This window comes from Homo sapiens, chromosome 19 (genome assembly GCF_000001405.40).
Source record: "Homo sapiens chromosome 19, GRCh38.p14 Primary Assembly".
In the NCBI taxonomy this organism is placed as follows: domain Eukaryota; kingdom Metazoa; phylum Chordata; class Mammalia; order Primates; family Hominidae; genus Homo; species Homo sapiens.
In genome coordinates, this window is record NC_000019.10 from 11,483,189 (window position 1) to 11,505,849 (window position 22,661).

The 22,661-nt window shown below is 55.7% G+C and overlaps 1 protein-coding gene and 1 non-coding gene across 2 annotated transcripts, besides 3 other annotated features; both read right to left on the bottom strand.

Annotated features, from left to right (window-relative positions):
• Window positions 1–240: 240 nt before the first annotated feature.
• ZNF653 (zinc finger protein 653) lies at window positions 241–22,651 on the bottom strand. The gene is made up of 9 exons (NM_138783.4): window positions 22,300–22,651; window positions 15,108–15,151; window positions 12,762–12,977; window positions 4,104–4,715; window positions 3,799–3,970; window positions 3,581–3,692; window positions 2,468–2,582; window positions 854–953; window positions 241–671 (listed from the first exon to the last, which is right to left on the bottom strand). The coding sequence occupies exons 1-9, from the start codon at window positions 22,596–22,598 to the stop codon at window positions 494–496; spliced, it is 1,848 nt and encodes a 615-aa protein (NP_620138.2). The 5' UTR covers window positions 22,599–22,651; the 3' UTR covers window positions 241–493.
• Window positions 12,356–12,434, bottom strand: MIR7974 (microRNA 7974). Its single transcript, NR_107014.1, has one exon. It is a non-coding gene; the product is annotated as a microRNA 7974 (primary transcript).
• Window positions 13,405–13,454: a silencer, noted in NCBI's record as "silent region_10114". NCBI's record gives its function as "represses an Ori minimal core promoter by ATAC-STARR-seq in GM12878 lymphoblastoid cells {active_cell/tissue: GM12878}" and the evidence as "EXISTENCE:reporter gene assay evidence [ECO:0000049][PMID:35858748]".
• Window positions 21,747–21,816: an enhancer, noted in NCBI's record as "active region_14021". NCBI's record gives its function as "activates an Ori minimal core promoter by ATAC-STARR-seq in GM12878 lymphoblastoid cells {active_cell/tissue: GM12878}" and the evidence as "EXISTENCE:reporter gene assay evidence [ECO:0000049][PMID:35858748]".
• Window positions 21,967–22,636: a silencer, noted in NCBI's record as "silent region_10115". NCBI's record gives its function as "represses an Ori minimal core promoter by ATAC-STARR-seq in GM12878 lymphoblastoid cells {active_cell/tissue: GM12878}" and the evidence as "EXISTENCE:reporter gene assay evidence [ECO:0000049][PMID:35858748]".

A 22,661-nucleotide genomic window follows, 5' to 3' on the forward strand; every position in this document is an offset into this window, starting at 1 on the left:
GTGGGAGATGGGTGCCCCATAAAACAGGAGGAAGTGGAAATTAGGGTCCTGAGTTCCGGGAGATGCCCAGAGACCCCAGACCCCCAAGCCTCACCCCATCCTGTGGGAGCAGGGGCTGTGCGAGGCTGCTGGGCCCAGGGGCATCCCTCGTTCCCTGCCTCGCTTAGGAAGGGATCAAGTAGGCTGGAGACAGAGAGGGGCCTGGCACCCCAAATCATTCAGGCCTAGGGGAAGGGCATCTCCTTTCTCGCTCTTTAATCTCACTCTGCTCTCTTGACACAGTTCCAGCAATGCAGCCCCAGGCACCAGCTCCGAGAAGGATGCGGTGGGGCGGGGTGGGGAACCTGCCCAGGGGGCCCAGCTCTGGGGCGGGGCGGGGGCGCCTCCTTCCGGCCCGCGGTCCGGGCGGCCCTCGCAGCTGTCCAGGCCCCGGCAAGCCCGGGCGTGGTGTCCGAGCGGACGAATAAATAGGGGCGGTCAGTGGTCAGGTGGGTCAGGTGGGCTTGTGATCCGGGTGGCTTTTGAGCGTGTGGAACTTGACGCTGTCCAGCTTCTCGAAGCGCTTCCCGCAGCGATCGCACGTGAAGTTGTACTGCACCTCCGCAGTGTGCTTCTTCATGTGCCAGTTGAGCGACGCGCGCTGCCGGCACTGGTAGCCACAGATCTCGCACCTGCCGGGAGCCCGTGGCGGGACGGGGCGGGGTCAGAGTGGGCGGGGCGGGGCGGGGCCCTACAAGGCCGAGCGCAGGTGGAACCGGGCCCAGACACTGCGTTGGGGCGAAGCCGCCCCTGGGACCTGCTGGGATCCCCTCCCACCCAATCCTCTAGCGGCACGGGGCGGCCTGTCACTCACTGCAGGGGGGTCTCGCCGGTGTGGGTGCGCCGATGTACCTCCAGGTGGTTCTTCCTCTTGAAGGACTTGCCGCAGGTCTCGCAGGTGAATTCACGGACACCTGGGGGCGGTGGGGACCGAGGCTGAGGACGGTGGGCTATGGGGTGTCTCTGATGTGCTGCAGACTCTGATGCTAGAAGGAGCATCAGGCTGTCTCCTTGGATCTCCCAGGACTGCAGGTGCAGGCCGACCAAACCCTACGTCCTTCCCGTGCATTTGCCCACAGACGCCATCAAGCAGAACTGAGATCGAACTTGGGTCCCTGAGAGGCATAGGGTGCACACTACCAAGCCAACATGGGTCTGAATTTGTCTTGTGTGTGTGTATATATATATTTTGCGACGGAGTTTCGCTCTTGTTGCCCAGGCTGGAGTGCAATGGCCCGATCTCGGCTTACCGCAACCACAACCTTGGTCTCGCGGGTTCAAGCGATTCTTCTGCCTCAGCCTCCTGAGTAGCTGGGATTACAGGCATGTGCCACCAACCATGCCCAGCTAATTTTGTATTTTTAGTAGAGACGGGGTTTCTCTATGTTGGTCAGGCTGGTCTCGAACTCCTGACCTCAGGTGATCTGCCCACCTCAGCCTCCCAAAGGGCTGGGATTACCACCACGCCCGGCCTTGTCCCTGATATTTGAACTTTGGGTGATTTCGCAAAATGAAAACAAAAACAAAAACAAAAAAAACTTCTGCCCAGCACGGTGGCTCACACCTATAATCCCAGCACTTAGGGAGGCCAAGGTGGGCAGATCGCCTGAGATCAGGAGTTGGAGACAAGCCTGGCTAACATGGCGAAACCCTGTCCCTACTAAAAAAAAAAAATTAGCTGGCATGGTGGTGAGCGCCTGTAATCCCAGATACTTGGGAGGCTGGGGCAGAAGAATTGCTTGAACCCGGGAGGCAGAGGCTGCAGTGAGCCAAGATCGGATTCCAGCCCGGGCAACAGAGTGAGACTCTGTTGCAAAAAATAACCACACACACATTAAAAAAAACCAAAAAAAACAAAAAAAACCCCCAAACTTCTGACCTCCTGTGATATCAGAAGCTCTGGCCCTCAGGGCATGCCCTATCGCTGGACACAGGCACCATGGCTCTCCACTATGTCCCCAGCCCATGCAGAAGACCTGCATCTCTGCCACAAGTGGAAACAGAAGCCCAGTCCCAAGCCAGCTGCTCCTCTTTGCCCAGCTCTCCTTCCTGCTGCTGCTTGGGTGGGCACTGGTCTAGCCTGTGGCCCCAGGTGCTGCTATAGGTTCCAATCTGGAAGAGCAGTGGCGGTGTCAGCTGCTCCCTAAGTCTCGCATGAGACCTGCTCTTGGGATCATGGGGCATGGGGTCGCGGGGATAGGAGGGAAGATGGCCAGCCCCACCCAATTCCTGTGATTGATTGGTAATAGTTCCTGTCGCTGTGGCTCACATAGCTACAGCTTACTGAGGACAGGGAGGAGGCTCCTAGGGGTGTAGTCCTGTGCCCGGAGACCCAGCACTGGGCTTTGACCCGCCAGCTCTGGCCCAGGCTCCCAGGCCCATGTCCCTGTGTCCCCCGCTCATGCTGCCAGCTGGCCCAGGGCCTGACCTGAATGGATGATCATGTGCCGCCGCAGGTGGTTGGATAAATAGAACTTCTTGCCACAGCCAGGATGAGGGCACACTTTGGTCTTTCCTTTCCGATGCACAAGATTGACGTGGTTCTGGAGACGAGACAGGCAGAAGTGGGTCCCATAGGCCCACAGAAGGGGCTCTGGGAGGTGGGGAGAGATGAGGGCAGCTGGAAGGCAGGCTGGGGCTGGCCTCCCCAGGAGGAGGGAAGAGGGGTACCCTTGCCCAGCTCAGAGATTCCCAGGGGCACAACTGGGGTCAAAGGGTAGCTTTATTTTTTTTATTTTTTGAGATGGAGTCTTGCTCTGTCGCCCAGGCTGGAGTGCAGTGGTGTTCTCTCAGCTCACTGCAAGCTCCACCCCCCCGGGTTCACACCATTCTCCTGCCACAGCCTCCTGAGTAGCTGGGAGTACAGGCGCCCGCCACCACGCCCGGCTGCTATTATTTTTTTCTGTATTTTTTAGTACAGACAGGGTTTCACCGTGTTAACCAGGATGGTCTCGATCTCCTGACCTCGTGATCCGCCCACCTCGGCCTCCCAAAGTGCTGGGATTACAGGTGTGAGCCACCGCACCTGGCCAAGGGCAGCTTTATTGAACACCTACTATATGCCAGGCTCTGGACTGGGGTATCTGTCAACTCTGTGAAGGGCCCAGCTGTTAGCCCAATTAATCGATGGGGAAACTGAGGTTCAAGGCTCTGTGGTTTGGCCAAGGTCTCACAGGTGGCCAGTGGCAGGACTGGGACTGGATTTGAGGGCTATCAGCCTCTGTGGGCCTGGAACAGGCAGCCCCAATTGATTCATTCCTTTGTTCCTTCACTCTTTAACTTACTAGAACAACCCTGGCTCCAGCTTGCAGGCCTGGCTTGCACTAAGTGCTTAATACATGCTCAATCAATGCATGGCATGGCACAAAGGCCTGTTGTTGCATCCTCCCATGCCAGGTCCTGGGGTGTGACAAGTCCCTGTCTTTGCCTTCAGGGACACCTCGTCAAATTTCAAGGGGCAAACTAGAGGTAGGACATCCTGGTGGTGCCATGGCCTGGGCCTTGTGGGCCTGGCCCAGGCTGCTCCGGGTGGCGGCCTCACCTGGAAGCTGCTGAGGGCCACGTAGACTTGGCTGCAGCCCTCGTATGGGCAGTGGAACATCTCGAGCAGGCCGTCAGCATCCATCACCCGCGACCGCTTGCTCCGCCGCCTCCTGGAGGGGAAGGGGCCATGACATCGGGGCTCCCGCACCAGGCAGGCTGGGGGCCTGCGGGCCGCTTCTAGCCCTCGCCCTCACCCTTGCCCGCCCCGGCACCCACTTCTCAGGCTCCTTGGGGATTTCATAGATGATGGCTGACATGTCGCTGCCGTCCAGCTCCTCCCCGTCCGCCTCTGCCTCAGGCTCTGCGCTCTCAGGCACCGTTGTTGCCAGCTCCGGGGCTACTGGCTCCTCCTTCTCCTCCTTCTTTAGCAAGCACAGGTCCTCCTTCTCTACAGGGTGGACACAGGGTGGTGTCCGCAGGGGACGAAGGCTGCCGAGGTGCCCACTTCGAGGGCCATTCCTCGCCCGGCCCCTCCCAGGCCCAACCACCCCTGGCCAGAGGCCACGACAGGTCCCCCAGACCTTTCTTGGTCTCGATGCCTGCTACTGCGGTGGCGTCCATGGTGCTAGGCTGGCTACCCTCGGGCTCTGTCTGGGTGTAGGCTGCCACACCCTCCATCATGGCACAGGGCACCTCCTCGCCCAGTCCACTGCCGGGGACACCGCTGCCTGCTGCCATGTTGAGGTGAATGCCCTCGGCCGTGAGAGCGTCGTAACCAGGGCCCGCAATGATGATCACCTGTGAGCCGGGCACCATGCCTGGCATGGGGCAGCTGGCCACCACCTCACCCAGGGCCTCCTGGGGCACGTTCTCAAAGAGGGCGCTGGGGCCCGCACCCACTTGCACAGGCACCGGCACGCACACCACTGTCTCCAGGGCTTCAGGCCCATTGCCTGCTGGGTTGGAGCACAGCGGGGTACCCTGCTCGGCCAGGCTTTCCACGTGGTGGACGTCAAAGGGAATGTGCACGCCCTCCTGAGTGATGAGCCCGCTGCTGCCCACCGGGCTGGTGGGCGTCGCTGCCGCTGCCGCTGCCGCAGCCTTGACCGGCTGGCCCTCAGGAGACTCCTCAGAGTCAGAGGCAGAGCCAGAGCTGGATGAGTCAGAGCTGCCAGCCACCAGCCCATTGCCCACTGTGGGGACAGAAGAAAGGGAGTGGTTATGATAGCTGCAGCCACTGGTATTTGTTTATTTAGTTTTTATTTTATTTTATTTATTTATTTATTTATTTTTTTGAGACAGAGTCTCACTCTGTCACCCAGGCTGGAGTGCAGTGGTGCGATCTCAGCTCACTGCAACCTTGGCATCCCCGGTTCCAGTGATTCTCCTGCCTCAGGCTCCCGAGTAGCTGGGACTACAGGTGTGCGCCACCACACCTGGCTTTTTTTTTTTTTCCTGAGATGGAGTCTCACTCTGTCACCCAGGCTGGAGTGCAGTGGCGCGATCTCTGCTCACTACAAGCTCTGCCTCCCAGGTTCATGCCATTCTCCCACCTCAGCCTCCCGAGTAGCTGGGACTACAGGCATGTGCCGCCATGCCCGGCTAATGTTTTGTATTTTTAATAGAGATAGGGGTTCACCAGGATGGTCTCGATCTCCTGACCTCGTGATCCACCCACCTCTGCCTCCCAAAGTGCTGGGATTACAGGTGTGAGCCACCGCGCCTGGCCCACACCCGGCTAATTTTTGTATTTTTAGTAGAGACGGGGTTTCATCATGTTGGCCAGGCTGGTCTCAAACTCCTGACCTCAAGTCATCTGCCCGCCTCAGCCTCCCAAAGTGTTAGAATGACAGTCATGAGCCACCGTGCCTGGCTGAATTTTTCTTTTCTTTTCTTTTTTTTTTTGAGATGGAGTCTCGCTCTGTCACACAGGCTGGAGTGCAGTGGCGCAATATTGGCTCACTGCAAGCTCCGCTTCCCAGGTTCACACCATTCTCCTGCCTCAGCCTCCCGAGTAGCTGGGACTACAGGCAACCGCCACCACGCCCAGCTAATTTTTGTATTTTTAGTAGAGATGGAGTTTCACTGTGTTAGCCAGGATGGTCTCGATCTCCTGACCTTATGATCCGCCCACCTCGGCCTCCGAAAGTGCTGGGATTACAGGCATGAGCCACCGCATCCGGCCTGAGTTTTTCTTTTTTTTTTTTGAGACAGAGTTTCGTTCTGTCACCCAGGCTGGAGTGCAATGGTGCAATCTTGGCTCACTGTAACCTCTGCCTCCTGGGTTCAAGCGATTCTCCTGCCTCAGCCTCCTGAGTAGCTGGGATTACAGGCGTGCACCACCACACCTGGCTAATTTGTGTGTTTTTAGTAGAGATGAGGTTTTGCCATGTTGGCCAGGCTAGCCTCAAACTCCTGACCTTGGGTGATCCATCCACCTCGGCTCCCCAAAGTGCTAGAATTATAGTCATGAGCCACCACATCTGGCCCGATTTTGTTTTTGTTTTGAGATGGAGTCTCCCTCTGTCACCCAGGCTGGAGTGCAGTGGTGCGATCCGGGCTCACTGCAACCTCTACCTCCCAGGTTCAAGCAACTCTTGTGCCTCAGCCTCCTGAGTAAATGGGATTACAGGTGCATGCAACCACACCTGGCTAATTTTTGTATTTTTAGTAGAGACGGGATTCCCCATTTTGGCCAGGCTGATCTCGAACTTCTGACCTCAGGTGATCTGCCCGCCCGGGCCTCCCAAAGTGCTGGAATTACAGACATGAGGCACCTCGTGTGGCCCTGATTTTCCCAAGTAGAGATCAGGTCTTGTTATGCTACCCAGGCTGTGGCCTTGAACTCCTGGGCTCCAGTGATCCTCCCACCTCAGCCTCCCAAAGTGCTGGGATTACAGGCGGGAGCCACCATGCCCGGCCAGCAGTTGGTATTTGTTGAGGGCTCTTCAGGGGCTAGACACTGTGACCCTCTCACTGCTTAAAACAGCAGTCACTTCTCAATCCCCACTGTCCCTAACTGTTCCAAGATGACTGACCCAGCTGACCACCCCTACTCCAGGGGACACTCTCCTCTCTTAGCCCCCAGACCCACGCTGTGGTATCCTGGGCCCTTCCTGGTGGCTCCTTCCAAGTTTATTTGGTTCTTGCAGGCCTGGAAGGCTTGGCCTGGGGCCTCTCCTCAGCGCTCACCTTACCCCCAGGCTTGCCCAGGCTAATGGGGTTAAAGGCCACCCTCCGATTCTCGATGCCAACTGAATGTCCAATAATTCAATCCAATCTGACATTATCTTCCCGGAGTGGGCGTCAAATCCTCCAAGTTAAAGGCTCAGTCCCACAAGACCGCCGGACTTCAGATGTCAGCTGCAAGTCCTGGGCTACCCTGTATGTCTGACCAATGGGCTCTAAATGGGGGGTTTCCATGACCCCATCCTCAGGTTTGATAATTTGTTAGAACAACTCACAGAACTCAGAAAATGGCTCTACCTACAATTACAGCTTTATTACAAAGGATTCAACTCAGCGACAGCCAAAGGGAAGAGATGCACAGGGCAAGATACGGGGGTATGGTATGGGCTTCCATGCCCTCTCCGGGGGTACCACCGTCCCAGCATCTCAATCTGGAACTGTTCACCAATCTGGGACTGTTCAAGAGGGTTTTTGTTGTTCTGTTGTTGTTGTTGTTTGTTTTTTTGAGACAGAGCCTTGCTCTGTTGTGTAAGCTGTAGTGAAGTGGCACAATCTCGGCTCACTGCAACCTCCGCCTCCCAGGTTTAAAAAATTCTCCTGCCTCAGCCTCCTGAGTAGCTGGGACTACAGGCACACGCCACCATGTCAGGCTAATTTTTTTTTTTGTATTTTTAGTAGAGATGGGTTTTCATCATGTTGGTCAGGCTGGTCTGGAACTCCTGACCTCAGGTGATCTGCCCGCCTTGGCCTCCCAAAGTGCTGGGATTACAGGTGTGAGCCACCGCGACTGGCCAAGTATGTATTCTTATTACTACAACCATCCATGGCCTGGTGATTCCATCTGCAGCTTCTGCCTACACCTCCATGTCGAGCTCCAGATTCTTCCATCTCATTGGCCCCCTAAGAGTGTCTCACAGGCATCTCAAACTCAGATCTGCAACACTGGGCTCTGTATCTTCCCTTCTACAAAGCCTGCACTGCTCACGGGTGTCCCTGACTCAGCGGAAGGCAGCTCAGTCTCTCCAGTGGCTCAGGCCAAAGTCCTGGGGCTCTTGTTGACTTCTCTCTCTCTCACACCCACTTCCAATCTGTCAGCAAAACCTGTTGGTGCTGCATCCAAAATACATCCACCCGCAGCCTGAACGCTTCTCCCACTTCCCCTGCAGATGCTAGTTGCGGCCCCACCGGCCCCCTGCCAGGGCCAGTGCAGTCCCTTCTTTTGGGTCCCCGGCTCCTAAGAACCTACTCTTTACCTCCTGTGAAAGAAGCAGGCCAGCTACTCACTAAATCCCTCTCTTCCTGGCACCAGCACCGACTACATTTCCCAGCATCTCTTGCAGGTAGGTGTGGCCATGTGGCTGAGTCCCAGCCAATGGAATGCAAGTGGACAGGTGCTCCCAAGGTTGAGTCTCCACTTTTCTCCCCACCAGTAAGCCAGGACCCACAAGGAGGCTGGAGCCATAGGAAGGAAAGAACCTGGGTCCAGGGATGAAAGGCAGTCTGCAGGATGGAAGCACCAGGCTTTGTATGTGGGAAACAAACCACTGTGCCAGGTCACGAGAGCTGGAGTGCGTCTGTTTCAGGAGGTGTTCCATCACCTCCTGTCCTCGCCTCCTCTCCTAATGTCCTTGGAGACACTAGATAGGTTCCTGCCTCAAGGCCTTTGCACCTGCCATTCCCTCGGCTTGAATCCTCTTTTTTTTTTTGAGATGGAGTCTCGCTCTGTCGCCCAGGCTGGAGTGCAGTGGCACGATCTTGGCTCACTGCAAGCTCTGCCTCCCAGGTTCACACCATTCTCCTGCCTCAGCCTCCCAAGTAGCTGGGACTACAGGTGCCGCCACCACGCCCAGCTAATTTTTAGTAGAGACAGGGTTTCACCGTGTTAGCCAGGATGGTCTCGATCTCCTGACCTCATGATCCGCCCACCTCGGCCTCCCAAAGTGCTGGGATTACAGACGTGAGCCACCGCACCCGGCCGGCTTGAATCCTCTTCTGTCTGACACCTGAGAGGGCTCCTCCCTCCCCTCCATCAGATCCTTCATTAAAGGTATTTTTTCAGGGGGAATTTCCTGACCATTCTGTCTCAAATAGTTCCTTTTTCCCTCCTTTATTTTTTCCCAAAGCACATACCACCTTACAGTGCACTCTATATTTTATTTTATTTTTGAGATGGAGTTTTGCTCGTTACCCAGGCTGGAGTGCAATGGTGCAGTCTCGGCTCACTGCAACCTCCACCTTCCAAGTTCAAGTGATTCTCCTGCCTCAGTCTCCTGAGTAGCTGGGATTACAGGCACACCCCACCATGCCCCGCCAATTTTTATATTTTTAGTGGAGACAATGTTTCACCATATTGGACAGGCTGCGAACTCCTGACCTCAAGTGATCCACTCACCTTAGCCTCCCAAAGTGCTGGGATTACAGGCGTGAGCCACCACGCCCAGCCTGTATTTTAATTAATTTATTTTTTTGAGACAGTGTCTCCCTCTGTCACCTAGGCTGGAATGCACTGGCACAGTCATAGCTCACTGCAGCCTCGAGCTCCTAGGTTCAAGCGATCCTCCTGCTTCGGCCTCCTAAAGCACTGGGAGAGGTGCACCACCATGCCCAGCTAACTTTTTCATTTTTTTGCTAGAGATGGGGTCTCACTATGTTGCCCAGGCTGTTCTCTAAGCCGTGGCCTCAAGCAATCCTAACTTGGCTTCCCAAAGCACTGGGATTACAGGCTTGAGCCACTGTGCCCAGCCTGCACTCTATATTTTTATTGGTTTATCCTGCTTACAATCCGCTTCCCCTCTAGAATGTAAACTCCGTAAGGTTGCGGGGTCCCGGTGCAGAGCCCCCAGTGCCGAGAAGGCTGTGTGGTGCACAGTGAGGGCTCGTTCCAATAAATGAATCAATCTCTGCTCCCTAGTCTTGGCTCACTGCAGCCTCTGCCTCCCGGGTTCAAGTGATTCTGATGCTTCTGCCTGCCAAGTAGCTGGAAGTACAGGCACACACCACCACACCTGGCTAATTTTTTGTATTTTTAGTAGAGACCGGGTTTTGCCATGTTGCCCAGGCTGGTCTCGAACTTCTAGCCTCAAGTGATCCACCTGCCTTGGCCTCCCAAAGTGCTGGGCTGGCATTACAGGTGTGAGCCACTGTACCCGGCCCTCGGGAGTGTTTTTTTTTTTTTCTAGACAGAGTCTTGCTCTGTTGCCCAGGCTGGAATGCAGTGGTGCGATCTTGGCTCACTGCAACCTCCGCCTCCTGGGTTTCAGTGATTCTCCTGCCTCAGCCTCCCAAGTAGCTAGGATTACAGGCATGCGCCACCATGCCCAGCTCATTTTTGTATTTTTAGTAGAGATGGGGTTTCACCATGTTGGCCAGGCTGGTCTTGAGCTCCTGGTCTCAAGTGATCCACCTGCCTCGGCCTCCCAAAGTGCTGGGATTACAGGTGTGAGCCACCGTGCCCAGCCTTTGTTTTGGGTCTTTAATGAGTAAATATGTATAAGGGTTTAGGACAGTAGGAGATTAAAAGTATGTACCCTGTAAGTTTCCTATTATTATCTCAGTGCCATTCAGGGCAGTGAGATGCCCACTGTTGATGGACCTGGGGTGGCAGCAGGGTTGGGGATAAGGAGGATCAGCCCCTCTTTCTGGATAATTTCCCCTTGTCCTGTATTCTGCAGGGTGGGCAAACTCTCTGGCACCATCCAGAAGGAGGGCGCAGTGTCCTAATGAGTGGAGGGAAGGGCCAGAGCACGCGTCTGGGTCCACCTGACTGCAGCACCTGCTAAGTTTGGCTGACCCCAGACTTCTCCTCAGGTAATGACAGCACCAACAGAAATAGCCATGGGCAAGGCCCGGTGGCATATGCCTGTAATCCCAGCACTTTGGGAGGCCAAGGCAGGAGGATTACTAGATCCCAGGAGTTTGAGACCAGCCTGGGCAACACAGTGAGATCCCATCTCTACAAAAAATTTAAAAATCAGCTGGCTGTGGTGGTGTGTGCCTGTGTTCCCAGCTACTCAGGAGGCCAGGGTGGGAGGATCACTTGAGCCCAGGAATTGGAGGCTGAAGTGAGCTATGATGGCACCACTGCACTCCAGCCTGGGCAACCGTGAGACCCTGTCTTAAAAAAAATAAATAAAAATAAAAAGCCAGGTATGGTGGCTCACACCAGTAATCCCAGCACTTAGGGAGGCCGAGGCAGGAGGATCACTTGAGGCTGGGAGTTCGAGACCAGCCTGGCCAAAGTGGTGAAAACCCACGTCTACTAAAAATACAAAAATTAGCTGGGCATGGTGGCTCACGCCTGTAATCCCAGCTACTAGGGAGGCTGAGGTGAGAGAATTGCTTCAACCTGGGAGGCAGAGGTTGCAGTGAGCCAAGATCGCACCACTGCACTCCAGCTTGGGTGACAGAGACAGAATCTGTCTCAAAAAGATAACATAACATAACATAACATAACATAACATAACATAACATAACATAACATAAAACATAACATAACATAACATAACATAAGGCCGGGTGCAGTGGCTCACGCCTGTAATCCCAGAACTTTGGAAGGCCGAGGTGGGTGGATCAACTGAGGTCAGGAGTTCAAGACCAGCCGGCCAACATGGTGAAACCCAGTGTCTACTAAAAATACAAAAATTAGCCAGGTGTGGTGGCAGATGCCTGTAATCCCAGCTACTAGGGAGGCTGAGGAAGGAGAATGGCTGGAACCTGAGGCTTGGCTTGCAGTGAGCCGAGATCGCGCCATTGCACTCCAGCCTGGGCGACAAGAGCGAGACCCTGTCTCAGATAAATAAATACATACATAAATAAATAATAAAAAGTTGAGTTGGGGCGTAAGTAAGCTGCTCTGGGCACCACCCACACCCCAGCCTGACCCATCACCAAATGGGCCAGTCAGATCACTCCTGGGGCTTGGGATTCCTTGACTGCCAAGTGGGGCTGATGACAAGGCCATGGGGAAGATTCATGGTGGCTCTGGGCAGGGCCAGGAGTGGCACACAGTGAGGGGGCAGTAAAAGGCAGAGGAGGGCGGAATGCAGATCATGGGATGGGGCAGCCGAGAGGCCACTGCACGCTGAGAGCCTGGCCGACACTTGGTGGGACGGTCGTTGGCGGGGGCGCCCACCCGGAACACCTCTCGCCCCCGGCTTCCCCTCGGCCAGCTGGGATGCCACCTGCTCCGAGATGCCAGCCAGCGCAGGCTCAGCCCTGGTGACCGCCCCACCCTCAGCCCTGACAGGACGCCTGGCAGTGTGCCCTACGCTCCTTCTCCAGCCATTGCCGAACCCCTGAGGCTGCCGGCAGCCCCCTCACCACTCACCGGGGCCAACTGAGCCTCCCTCACTGAGTCCCTGCCCCGTGGGATGGGAAGGAGAGAGGCAGGGACCGCGAAGGTGGGGAGGGAGGAGGAGAAAGGGGAATAGAAGGAAACAAGAGAAAGAGAGAGAGGGAGATGAGACAGAAAATGAAAGATCAAGGAAGGAGGAGACAGAGGCAGCTCAAGGGAGGAGAAATGGGGAACAGGAGGGAAACAGAATGGAGGGGGAAGGCAAGAAACGAAGCCTGGAAAGGCAGAAGGCAAGAGAATGCAACTGGGAGCCAGAGAAAATCGAAAAGGAGGTAGCGGCCAGCTTAGCCAGGGCTCAGGAGAGCATCACAGCCTATGAAGCCATAAGGCCTGGGTGGTTTAGGCGGCCGTTTCGCTGTGGGGGCCGAGCCCTGCCCCAGCAGGCCTGCCCCCGCCCCAGCTGCCAAGCCAGGGCTCCTGGGCCCTCAGCCAGCCCTGCCTGGGACTGGCCTTGGGCACAGATTGGCAAACTGCTCCATAAAGAGGGACTGCCTCCCCACTCAAGCTCTGTAAGGACGCAAAGAGGGCAAGGCCACGAAGGACTCAGCCTGGCCCATCGTGTCCCTGCTCTGCCCCAGTGCCAGAGCCAGAGCCAGAGCCACTGTGGCTGCTATTCTGTTTGTGATGCTAGCCTAGGGCTCGTAAGAAGCCCCCAGAAATGGGCGGCCCCCTATGTGCCCTCGCCCTGCAGACCTACCTTTGTCACTGTCAGGGTCTGAGTCGCTGAGGGGCTTCAGGGGCGAATGCAGGTCCTGGAAGTAGCGGTGGCCAGCTTCGCACTGCCACACGGCCGTGGTGTACAGGCCAAAAGTGGGGTCTAGCTCCGCCAGGTGCGGCTCGTACGGGCAGCGGTGCTTGTGGTCCTCGTACCAGATCACCACGTTCTTCAGGCAGTTCACGTTGCGTCGCCGCCCTATGGACACAGGGCCGAGGAGTGGGTATAAGGGACAGGGCTCAGCCCATGGTGACATGGCTGCCTGAACCACCGGGGCTTTATGGGTCCCATGGGTTTGGAGGCCCTCCTGAGTACCATCCAGGCCTGTACCCAGTTTAAAGGGGGAAACTGAGGCTCAGAGAGGAGAGGCACCCCCTGGAGGTAACGGGGACTGTTCTATTGGCAAAGTCATGTAAACAGTGGAGCCTGGTGCACAGTAGGTGCATAATAATTGTTAGCTGCTTGTTAATTGTTCTCATCTTCATCAAACGCCTAGACCAGCGCAGTCCTCAGGCCCAGGACTCCCAGGCTCCCGCCCTAACCACCCCCTACAGCCGCAAGGGGGCGCCTGTGAATGCCCGAGTCAAGTCTGTTCCCTCCTCTGCTCAGAATCCACTGGGCCAGGCGCAATGACTCACACCTGCAATCCTAGCACTTTGGGAGGCAGAGGCAGGCGGATCACTTAAGGCCAGGAGTTTGAAACCAGCCTGGCTAACATGGCGAAAACCCATCTTTACTAAAAATACAAAAATTGGCCGGCATGGTGGTGTATGCCTTTTGTCCCAGCTACTTGGGAGGCTGAGGTAGGAGGATCGCTTGAGCCTGGGAGGTGGAGGATGCAGTGAGCCAAGGTCGCAACACTGCACTCCAGCCTGGATGACACAGCAAGACCAACTCCCTCAGGGTAAAAGCCAAAGTCCTCCCTTCGGCCCACAAGGCCCACTGTGACTTGTCACCTCCCCGCCCTCACCCACTTGGTGACTGCACTCCACTCCAGCCACATGGCCTCCTCGCTGTTCCTGGAGCGGGCTAGGTGTGGCCCTGCCTCAGGGCCTTGGCACAGGCTGTGCCTGCTTCCTCTAGATAACTGTCTTGCTCCCTCCCCACTTCACTCAGGTCTCCCCCAAATGCATCCCCTCCAAGAGGCCACTCCCTGCCCAGTCACTCTAGCCGACCTTAACTTTGCTGTCTGTTTTCTCCAGGTAGTACCTAGATGCCATCTGTGGCCATTTGTTTACATGTGCCCTGTCTGTCTCTCCCACCAGAATGTCAGCTCCTCAAGAGCAGGAACACTGCTGTTTTGCTCCTCCTGTACCCCCAGTGCCCCCAAAGGGCCTGGTTCATAGCAGGTGCTCCAGGAACATTTGCTGGATGAGAGAACGCTGCATAGCGGGCGGGCATGGTGGAGCCGGACCGCCTGGGTTTGAATCCTGGCTCTGCCCCTTCCAAGCTGGGTAGCTCCAGGCAAGTGACTTGGCTTCTCTGAGCCCCAGGTGCCTCCTCTAGGCTGGGGAGAATAAGGGATTCCCATCCCGGAGGGCTGCCAGGCAGGAGGAAGGGAGTGAAGACATCGCCAGGACACAGAACAAGGCTGGGCACACAGTGAGTGCTGGGAAATGGTATCTGACTCTTGTGATGGTCCTGGTCCCTCAGCCAAGTGCGAGGACAGCATGTCCCCCACTCCTACCCTGTGGGCCGGGAGATGAAGAGGGGCCCAGAAGAGGTGTTTGGGTCTAGGGAATGTGCTCACAGTCTCCAATCATGAGGGCAACAGAGTCGTCACCCACAGCCGCCTCTCCGGCCCAGCCCTTTCCCTCCTCAATGCGCTCCTCATCCCTTGAGGATTCAGGATCAAGGTCATAGCTCACCCCTGCCTCTGGAGAAACCTAAGAAGGGAGGGGCTCACTGCCACCAGCTGGCCTTCACCCTGCTGGACATGGCCTGGGACCCCCAGCTCCAGGGCTCAGAGCTGTGCAGACCCTGACAGTTCAAGCTCTCACCAACTGGTGGCCAGCAGGACAGGAGGAGCAAGCTCCAGACCTCCCCTCTAACCACCAGTGCTTGGCTCCCCCTGCCCTTAGGGCTCTGCAAAAGCTGTTCCCTCTGCTCGGCTCTCCCCTGGCTGACTCCCATGCCGGGAGCAAGAGAATGAGGGAGCCAAGGACACTGCGCCTGAGACACAAGACACGCAGACCCGGGTTTGAGGTCGGGCTCTGCTGGTTCCAACTGTGCTGCCTAGGGCAGCGACCTGGCCTCTCTGGGCCTCCATCTCCATATTCCCACCGCTCCCAACTCTCCCCACCTCCCCCAGGCTGAGCCTCCACTTACTTTTCTTCCGCTTTGGCTTTTTGGGGACCTGCTCCCAAGGCTTCCTGCAACAGAAAGAGGCAGAGAGGGTGAACGGGGGACCAGCGCTGGGCCTGTCTGACCCATGAGTAACAACAGTGGCTAGAGCCACTGCTCATTGTACACTGAAACTAAATCTGAACTTTTTGAGATGGAGTCTCACTGTGTTGCCCAGGCTAGAGTGCAGTGGTGAGATCTTGACTCATTGCAGCCTTTGCCTCCCAGGTTCCAGCGATTCTCCTGCCTCAGCCTCTCAAGTAGCTGGGATTACAGGTGCACGCCACCACACCTGGCTAATTTTTGTATGTTTAGTAGAGACGGAGTTTCACCATGTTGGCCAGGCTGGTCTCGAACTCCTGACCTCAGGTGATCCGCCCACCTCAGCCTCCCAAAGTGCTGGTATTACAGGCATGAGCCGCCACGCCTGCCCTGAACTTTTTTTTCTTTTTGAGACAATGTCTGTCTCTGTTGCCTAGGCTGGAGTGCAGTGGTGCGATCTCGGTTCACTGCAACCTCCGCCTCCCAGGTTCAAGTGATTCTCCTGCCTCAGACTCCTGAATAGCTGGGATTACAGACTAATTTTGTATTTTTAGTAGAGACGGGGTTTCACCATGTTGGCCATCCTGGTCTCAAGCTTCTGACCTCAGGTGATCCGCCCACCTCGGCCTCCCAAAGTGTTGGGATTACAGGCGTGAGCCACCGTGCCCAGCCTAGAATCTGAACTTCTATGTACCTTTCCCCAACTCCAGAACTGTGTCACCAGGCCCCTCCCTTGGACTCTCTCCCCAATTGCCATCAGCCCTGGGAGGGGGCTCTAGCATCATCCACCTCAAGGAGCAGGAAAAACAGGCTTGGAGGGGTGAGGCCATCTGCCCTGGGTCCCACAGTCAGGGAGCAGAGAAGTAACAAAGTGGGTATGAAAAGTTTGTGTGGAAGCAGAATTCCAAGATGGCCCCCACAGTTCTGCTGGGACACATGCCCTGTGTGATCCTCTTCCCCTGAGCGGGGCAGGCCTGTGAGTAGGACTGGATGTCAAGCCTTGGTTAGGTGACTGTGAGTTAATCAAACGGGAACATATCTTGTAGGGCACAGTGGCTCAAGCCTGTAGTCCCAGCTACTTGAGAGGCTGAGAGTGGTCTTGGCCCACAGCCAGCAAGACAGTGGGTACTGTCTGGGTGTGGTGTCTCACACCTGTAATTCTAGCACTTTGGGAGGCTGAGGCAGGAGGACTGCTTGAAGCCAGGGGTTCAAGACCAGCCTGGGCAACATAGCAAGATCCCACCTCTATTTATACAATTAAAAAAAAAAAAAAAAAAGGCCAGGCTCCGTGGCTCATTCCTGTAATCTCAGCACGTTAGGAGGTTAAGACGGGTGCATCGCTTGAGGCCAGAAGTTGGAGACCAGCCTGGGAAACACAGTGAAACCCCATCTCCACAAAAAATACAGAAATTACCCAGGCGGGGTGGCATGCACCTGTAGTCCCAGCTACTCAGGAGGTTAAGGTGGGAGGATCACCTGAGCCTGGGGAGGTCAAGGCTGCAGTGAGCTATGATCACACCACTGCACTCCAACCTGGGCAACAGAGTAAAACCGTGTCTCAAAAACAAAGAAACAAACAAAAACAAACAAAAAACGATCTTCGTCATGGTACAGCCCTGTCACTTAATCATCAATAAGCAAATGGTACAATGATCGTTATGATTATCAGTATCATCGTGGAGCCTGGGCCCCCTGGCCTCCCTGCTGTGGCCCAGACCTGCTCTTGCCACAAACATCCTGACAGCCAGTCTAGTGTCTCTTATCAGCAAAACTGTCCACCCCGTCTGACTCCTGCCCAGCCCTGTAACAATTCTCAGTCCCACACCCGTCTGGTTCCCAGGACTGCACCTTGGGGATCTTCCATCTTTCCTGCCCCAGGCTCTGCCCCTGCCTCTGGCTCTGCTACTCCAGGTCCCATTCCATGTGACTCTATCCCTTCCCATGGCTCCACCCTCCCCTGCAAAGCACCACACTGGCTGTAGAGACCTTCACCCAACCCAAGACCCAAGTCTGGCTCTGTCACCCAGGTTGGAGTGGAGTAGCACTATCTCAGTTCACTGCAACCTCTGCCTCCTGGGTTCAAGCGATTCTTCTGCCTCAGCCTCCTGAGTAGCTGGGATTATAGATGCCTGCCATCAGCCCAGCTAATTTTTCTATTTTTAGTAGAGACAGGATTTCGCTATGTTGGCCAGACTGGTCTCGAACTCCTGACCTCAAGTGATCTGCCTGCCTCAGCCTCCCAAAGTGCTGGGATTACAAGTGTAAGCCACCATGCCCTGCCCCAAACCCAAGTCCTGATGTCCACAGCCACCTCCATCCACTCACCGCTGGAGGCTGGGAGTGTCACATTGCAGTGGGGACAGTCTTGGGTATCAGCCAGACCCAAGTTCAAGACTCAGCTCTGCTCTCAACTGCCTGTGTGACCTCAAGCAGGTCTTGTCCCCTCTGAGCCTCAGTCTCCGTCTGTGAAGTGGAAATAGTAGTAGTGCTTCTGACACAGGGTCACCATGGGGACCAAACAAGGTCATATGTAACCTGGTGAGCGCCACTTTCCAACCCCCACACAGGGCTTTCTCCCTCAAACTGCCTTCCCTCTCCTGTCCACTTCTCCAACTTCTGCCACTTCTCTGTGACTCCCAGCAGAGGCCACTGGCATCAAGGACCACAGCTCCGGGGCTACTCAGGCCCTGGCTTGGCTGTTTCCCGCCATTTCCTTTCAGTCTTCAGTCATTCCCACCAGCATCTAAATATGCCATGATTTCTCCCATCTTGGGTTAAAATCATTTTGATACCCACCTTCCCCACCAGCCCCTTCCCCATATCTTTTTTTTTTTTTTTCTTTTTGAGACAGGCTCTCGTGGTGTTGCCCCAGCTGGAGTGCAGTGGCGCCATCACAGCTCACTGAAGCTTCGACCTCCAGGGCTCAACCGATCCTCTTGCCTCAGCCTCCTGAGTAGCTGGGACCACAGGCATGCACCACCACACCCGGCTAACTTTTGTACTTTTTGTAGAGATCGAGTTTCGCCATGTTGCCCAAGCTGGTCTCAAACTCCTGGGCTCAAGAGATCCTTCTGCTTCAGCCTCCCAAAGTGCTGGGATTACAGGTGTGAGCCACTAGCACCCAGCCTCCTTCTTCATTTCCCCGTTTTGTCACAGTTGTCTACACTCGCTGTCTCCATGTCCTCTCCTCCATCTCACTGGAACTCCTCCAGTCAGAGCTTTGCTCCATCACGTCACACACTCTCCCATCACAGTCACCAGTGACGGCTTCACTCGGCCCAACAGCACTGGACATGGCAGACACTTCCTTTGGCCTCCTGGGTGCTGCCACTGCCCAGTGCTCCACTGGCACCGGGCTGCTGCTTCTCCCTCACCTCCCTTACCAAGGAGAGCAACCGCCACACTCAGGCCTGTGTTTTCTGTCTAAAAGTATCCCTTTAGTAACTTTTTTTTTTCTTTTGAGATAGAGCCTCGCTCTGTTGCCCAGGCTGGAGTGCGGTGGCACGATCTTGGCTCACTGCAAACTCTGCCTCCTGGGTTCAAGTGATTCTCCTGCCTCAGCCTCCTGCGTAGCTGGGACTATAGGCGTGTGCCACCACGCCCAGCTAATTTTTGTATTTTTAGTAGAGACGGGGTTTCAATATGCTGGCCAGGCTGGTCTCGAACTCCTTACTTCGTGATTTGCTCACCTTGGCCTCCCAAAGTGCTGGGATTATAGGCGTGAGCCATCGCGCCTGGCCTATTTTTATTTTACTTTTTGAGACAGTCTTGCTCTATTGCCCAGGCTGGAGTACAGTGGCGCGATCTCGGCTCACTGCAACCTCCACCTCCCGGGTTCCAGTGATTCTCCTGCCTCAGCCTCCCAAGCAGCTGCGACTACAGGCGTGCGCCACCATGCCCGGCTAATTTTTGCATTTTTAGTAGAGACAGGGTTTTGGCCTATTGGTCAGGCTGGTCTCAAATTCCTGACCTCAAGAGATCCACCTGCCTTGGCCTCCCAAAGTGCTGGGATTACAGGCGTGAGCTACCATGCCTGGTCTTCCTTTTTTTTATTTTAATTGTTGACAAGAGTCATGAACCTCCTTGGACTCATCATCAGCTTTAACAATTGTTAACTCTTGGCCAACCTTGTATCACAATGTGTACCCCATCCATTCTTCAAGCCACACACATCCTAGAGACAGTTTCTTCTAAAATACAAACCAGGCTGTGTGTGACTTGTAGTCCCAGCTACTCTGGAGGCTGAGGTGGGAGGATCTCTTGAGTCCAGGAGTTCAAGACCAGCCTGGGCAATATAGCAAGACTGCATCTCAAAAATAAATAAACAAATAAATAAGGAAATAAAAGGCCAGGCCCAGGCCCGGGTATGGTTTCATCTTTACATTTAAATCTGCAACCCCGCCGGGCGCAGTGGCTCACACCTGTAATCCCAGCACTTTGGGAGGCCGAGGCAGGCAGACCTCTTGAGGTCAGGAGTTCGAGACCAGCCTAGCCAACATGGCGAAACCCCGTCTCTACTAAAAATACAAAAATTAGCCGGGCATGGGGGTGCACGCCTGTAATCCCAGCTACTCGGGAGGCTGAGGCAGGAGAATCGCTTGAACGCGGGAGGCAGAGGTTGCAGTGAGCTGAGGCTGCGCCAATGTACTCCAGCCTGGGTAACAGAGCAAGACTCCATCTCAAAAAAAAAAAAGGTGGGGGGGGCATCAGGGGAAATAAAGGCAGACCATACCACTTCTTTCTCTGTACAAAATCTTGCACTTAAGAAAAGGCTCCCACCTCACTGGGAGGAAAAACTGGAGTCCTCTCCATGGCTCTGGATGACCTTCCCTGTCACCAATCTGTCCTTGTCTTCCCTTCTCCCCCTCACTCATTGCAGTCCAGCCACACAAGCCTCTTCAGTGTTCCTGGCACACAATAGGCAGGGTCCTGCCTCAGGACCTTTGCCTTTGCTATTCCCTCTGCCTCAACTCTTCCCCAGAGATCTGCATGGCTCCTCCTAGGTTCCTTCATGTCTTTACTGAAATGCTATCTTCTGAATGTGACCACCTTAACTCCCTATTTAAACTTCCAACTCACACTCTTCATTTCACTTTTGTTTTTTCCGTAGCCCCTATCTCTCATGGACGATACAATTTACTTATGTTTCTGGTCTGCAGTAAACAAGCCTTTTGCCAGGTATGGTGGCTCATGACTTTAATCCCAGCACTTCGGGAGGCTGAGGACGGAGGATCCCTTGAGCCGAGGAGTTCGTGACCAGCCTGGGCAACATGGCGAGACCCCCATCTCCATGAAAAATTAAAAAATTAGCCAGGTGAGGTGGCTCCTCTGTAGTCCCAGCTACTTGGGAGACTGAGGCAGGAGGATCCCTTGAGCCTGGGAGGTTGAGGCTGCTGTGAGCTATGAACATGCCACTGTACTCTGGCCTGGGTGACAAAGTGAGACCCTGTCTCAAGAACAAACAAACAGGGCTGGGCACAATGGCTTACACCTGTAATCCCAGCACTTTGAGAGGCTGAGGCCGGAGAATCACTTGAGCCTAGGAGTTTGAAATCAGCCTGGGCAACACAGGGAAACCTCTGTCTCTACAAAAAATACAAAAATTAGCCAGGTGGAGTGACGTGCACCTGTGGTCCCAACTACTCAGGAGGCGGAGGTAAGAGGATCACTTGAACCCACGAGGTTGAGGCTGCAGTAAGCCGTGATCATGCCACTGCATTCCACTCTGGGCGAGAGAGTGAGACCCTGTCTCAAAAAGAAAAACGAGGGCCGGGCGCGGTGGCTCACGCCTGTAATCCCAGCACTTTGGGAGGCCGAGGCGGGTGGATCACGAGGTCAGGAGATCGAGGCCATCCTGGCTAACAGAGTAAAACCCTGTCTCTACTAAAAATACAAAAAATTAGCCGGGCGTGGTGGCGGGCGGCTGCAGTCCCAGCTACTTGGGAGGCTGAGGCAGGAGAATGGCGTGAACCCGGGAGGCGGAGCTTGCAGTGAACGGAGATCGTGCCACTGCACTCCAGCCTGGGCGACAGAGCAAGACTCTGTCTCAAAAAAAAAGAAAAGAAAAGAAAAACGAACAAAAAAACCCCCCAGACCTTTGAACAAGCCATCCCCTCTGCCCACCAGAATGTCCGCTCCATGAGGCAGGTATCTTTGCGCTCCCAGCATTTCCAGTCCTGCTCTTGAGCATATAAGCCAGCCTGCTGTCCTGGGAAAGGGGTGGGTATAACTTAGCAGGATCTGTTTGATTCTTGACTCTCAGAATCTCCCCCCAGAGAAACATGAGAACATGTGTACCTGAAAACCAGGGCAGAACAAGGATTTCCTTGCGGCACTGCTTGTGATACGGAATAAACGTCATCCTCGTAAAAGTTAATACTTAGGGAACCCACTACCTGCCAGGCACTCTTCTAAGCTCTTTGCCTATTTTAACTCAATCATCACATCAACATATAAGGCAGGAAGGGAAAAACTCCATCCACACTGCTCCTTCTCAAGACTGAGAATTTACAAAGACAGGCCTCTCTGCCCTCCACCTGCCAAGCTAACTAGGGGTTTCCTCTTCATCCGAGTCTCCCTGGGCTGAGTTGCTTCACAGAAATAGGTTTAGGGGAGTGCAGTCCAGGTTGTGAAGGGTCCCCCGGATGTGTTGGATCTAGGGTTGTGGGAATGGGGCCATACGGAGTCCCAGATGGGGCACCAGAACTTCAAGAAGGGCAGGGCTGAGTGCCCCAGGGTGTCCAGAGTCCCAGGCCAGGTGGGGAACTAAGCGGGGGAGGATGAGACCGGTGAGGGGGCGGGGCTGCCCCCCCAGGGCCTGGTTAGTTACAAGGCCTGGAGGTGGGGCCAGTCCCAGGATTGGGCCGCCAGAGTTCTAGCGGGCGGGGCCAAGCGCTCAGAAGGCGGGTCGAGGGGCTGGGTGCACCCTAGGATTGGGCAGTCGGAACGATGGGAGGCGGGGCCACGAGCCAGGCGCGTCCCGGCCAGGCAGTACGAGACCCAGGCCGCCGGCCCGGCTCCTGGGCGGGGTCCGCAGGTGCCGGGGGCTGGCCCTAGAAGCGGAGGGGGCGGGGTAAAGCCCGGCGGGGTCTGGGGGCGTCTCCTCCCTCCCTCCCTCGGGGCCAGGCCCCCTCACCCGTGGCGGCCGCTCCGCTGGCCGCGCTCCAGAGAGATGAGGTAGGCGGCGAGCTTGGCGTCGCTCCAGCCGCTGCGGCGCCGCAGGTCCACCCAGGGCCCGTGCGCCTCGCCCAGGTACACGCGCCGCACGTCGTACTTCTTCCGGGACTCGAGCCGTCGCCGGGCCCGGTCCGACTCCGTGAGTCGCGGCCGGCCCCGCGCCTTTCGGCCCGCTGCGCCCTCCTCGGCTGCTGCCTCCCCGCCCGCGCCCGCCTCAGCCTCCGCCTCCGCCTCGGGCTCTAGCGCCCGCTCCGCCATCCCCCCCACCCTGGTTACCAGCCTCCCCCGTTGTTAGGAGCCAGACCGGAAGTGGCGCGCATC

Excerpts from the sequence above, each read along its gene's own strand:
- ZNF653 (NM_138783.4), bottom strand. The coding sequence starts at position 22,598 with ATGGCGGAGCGGGCGCTAGAGCCCGAGGCGGAGGCGGAGGCTGAGGCG. Across the intron at positions 3,971-4,103 it reads AGGCATCGAGACCAAGAAAG|AGAAGGAGGACCTGTGCTTG; the intron begins GTCTGGGGGACC and ends TCCACCCTGTAG. Across the intron at positions 3,693-3,798 it reads ATCCCCAAGGAGCCTGAGAA|GAGGCGGCGGAGCAAGCGGT; the intron begins GTGGGTGCCGGG and ends CTTCCCCTCCAG.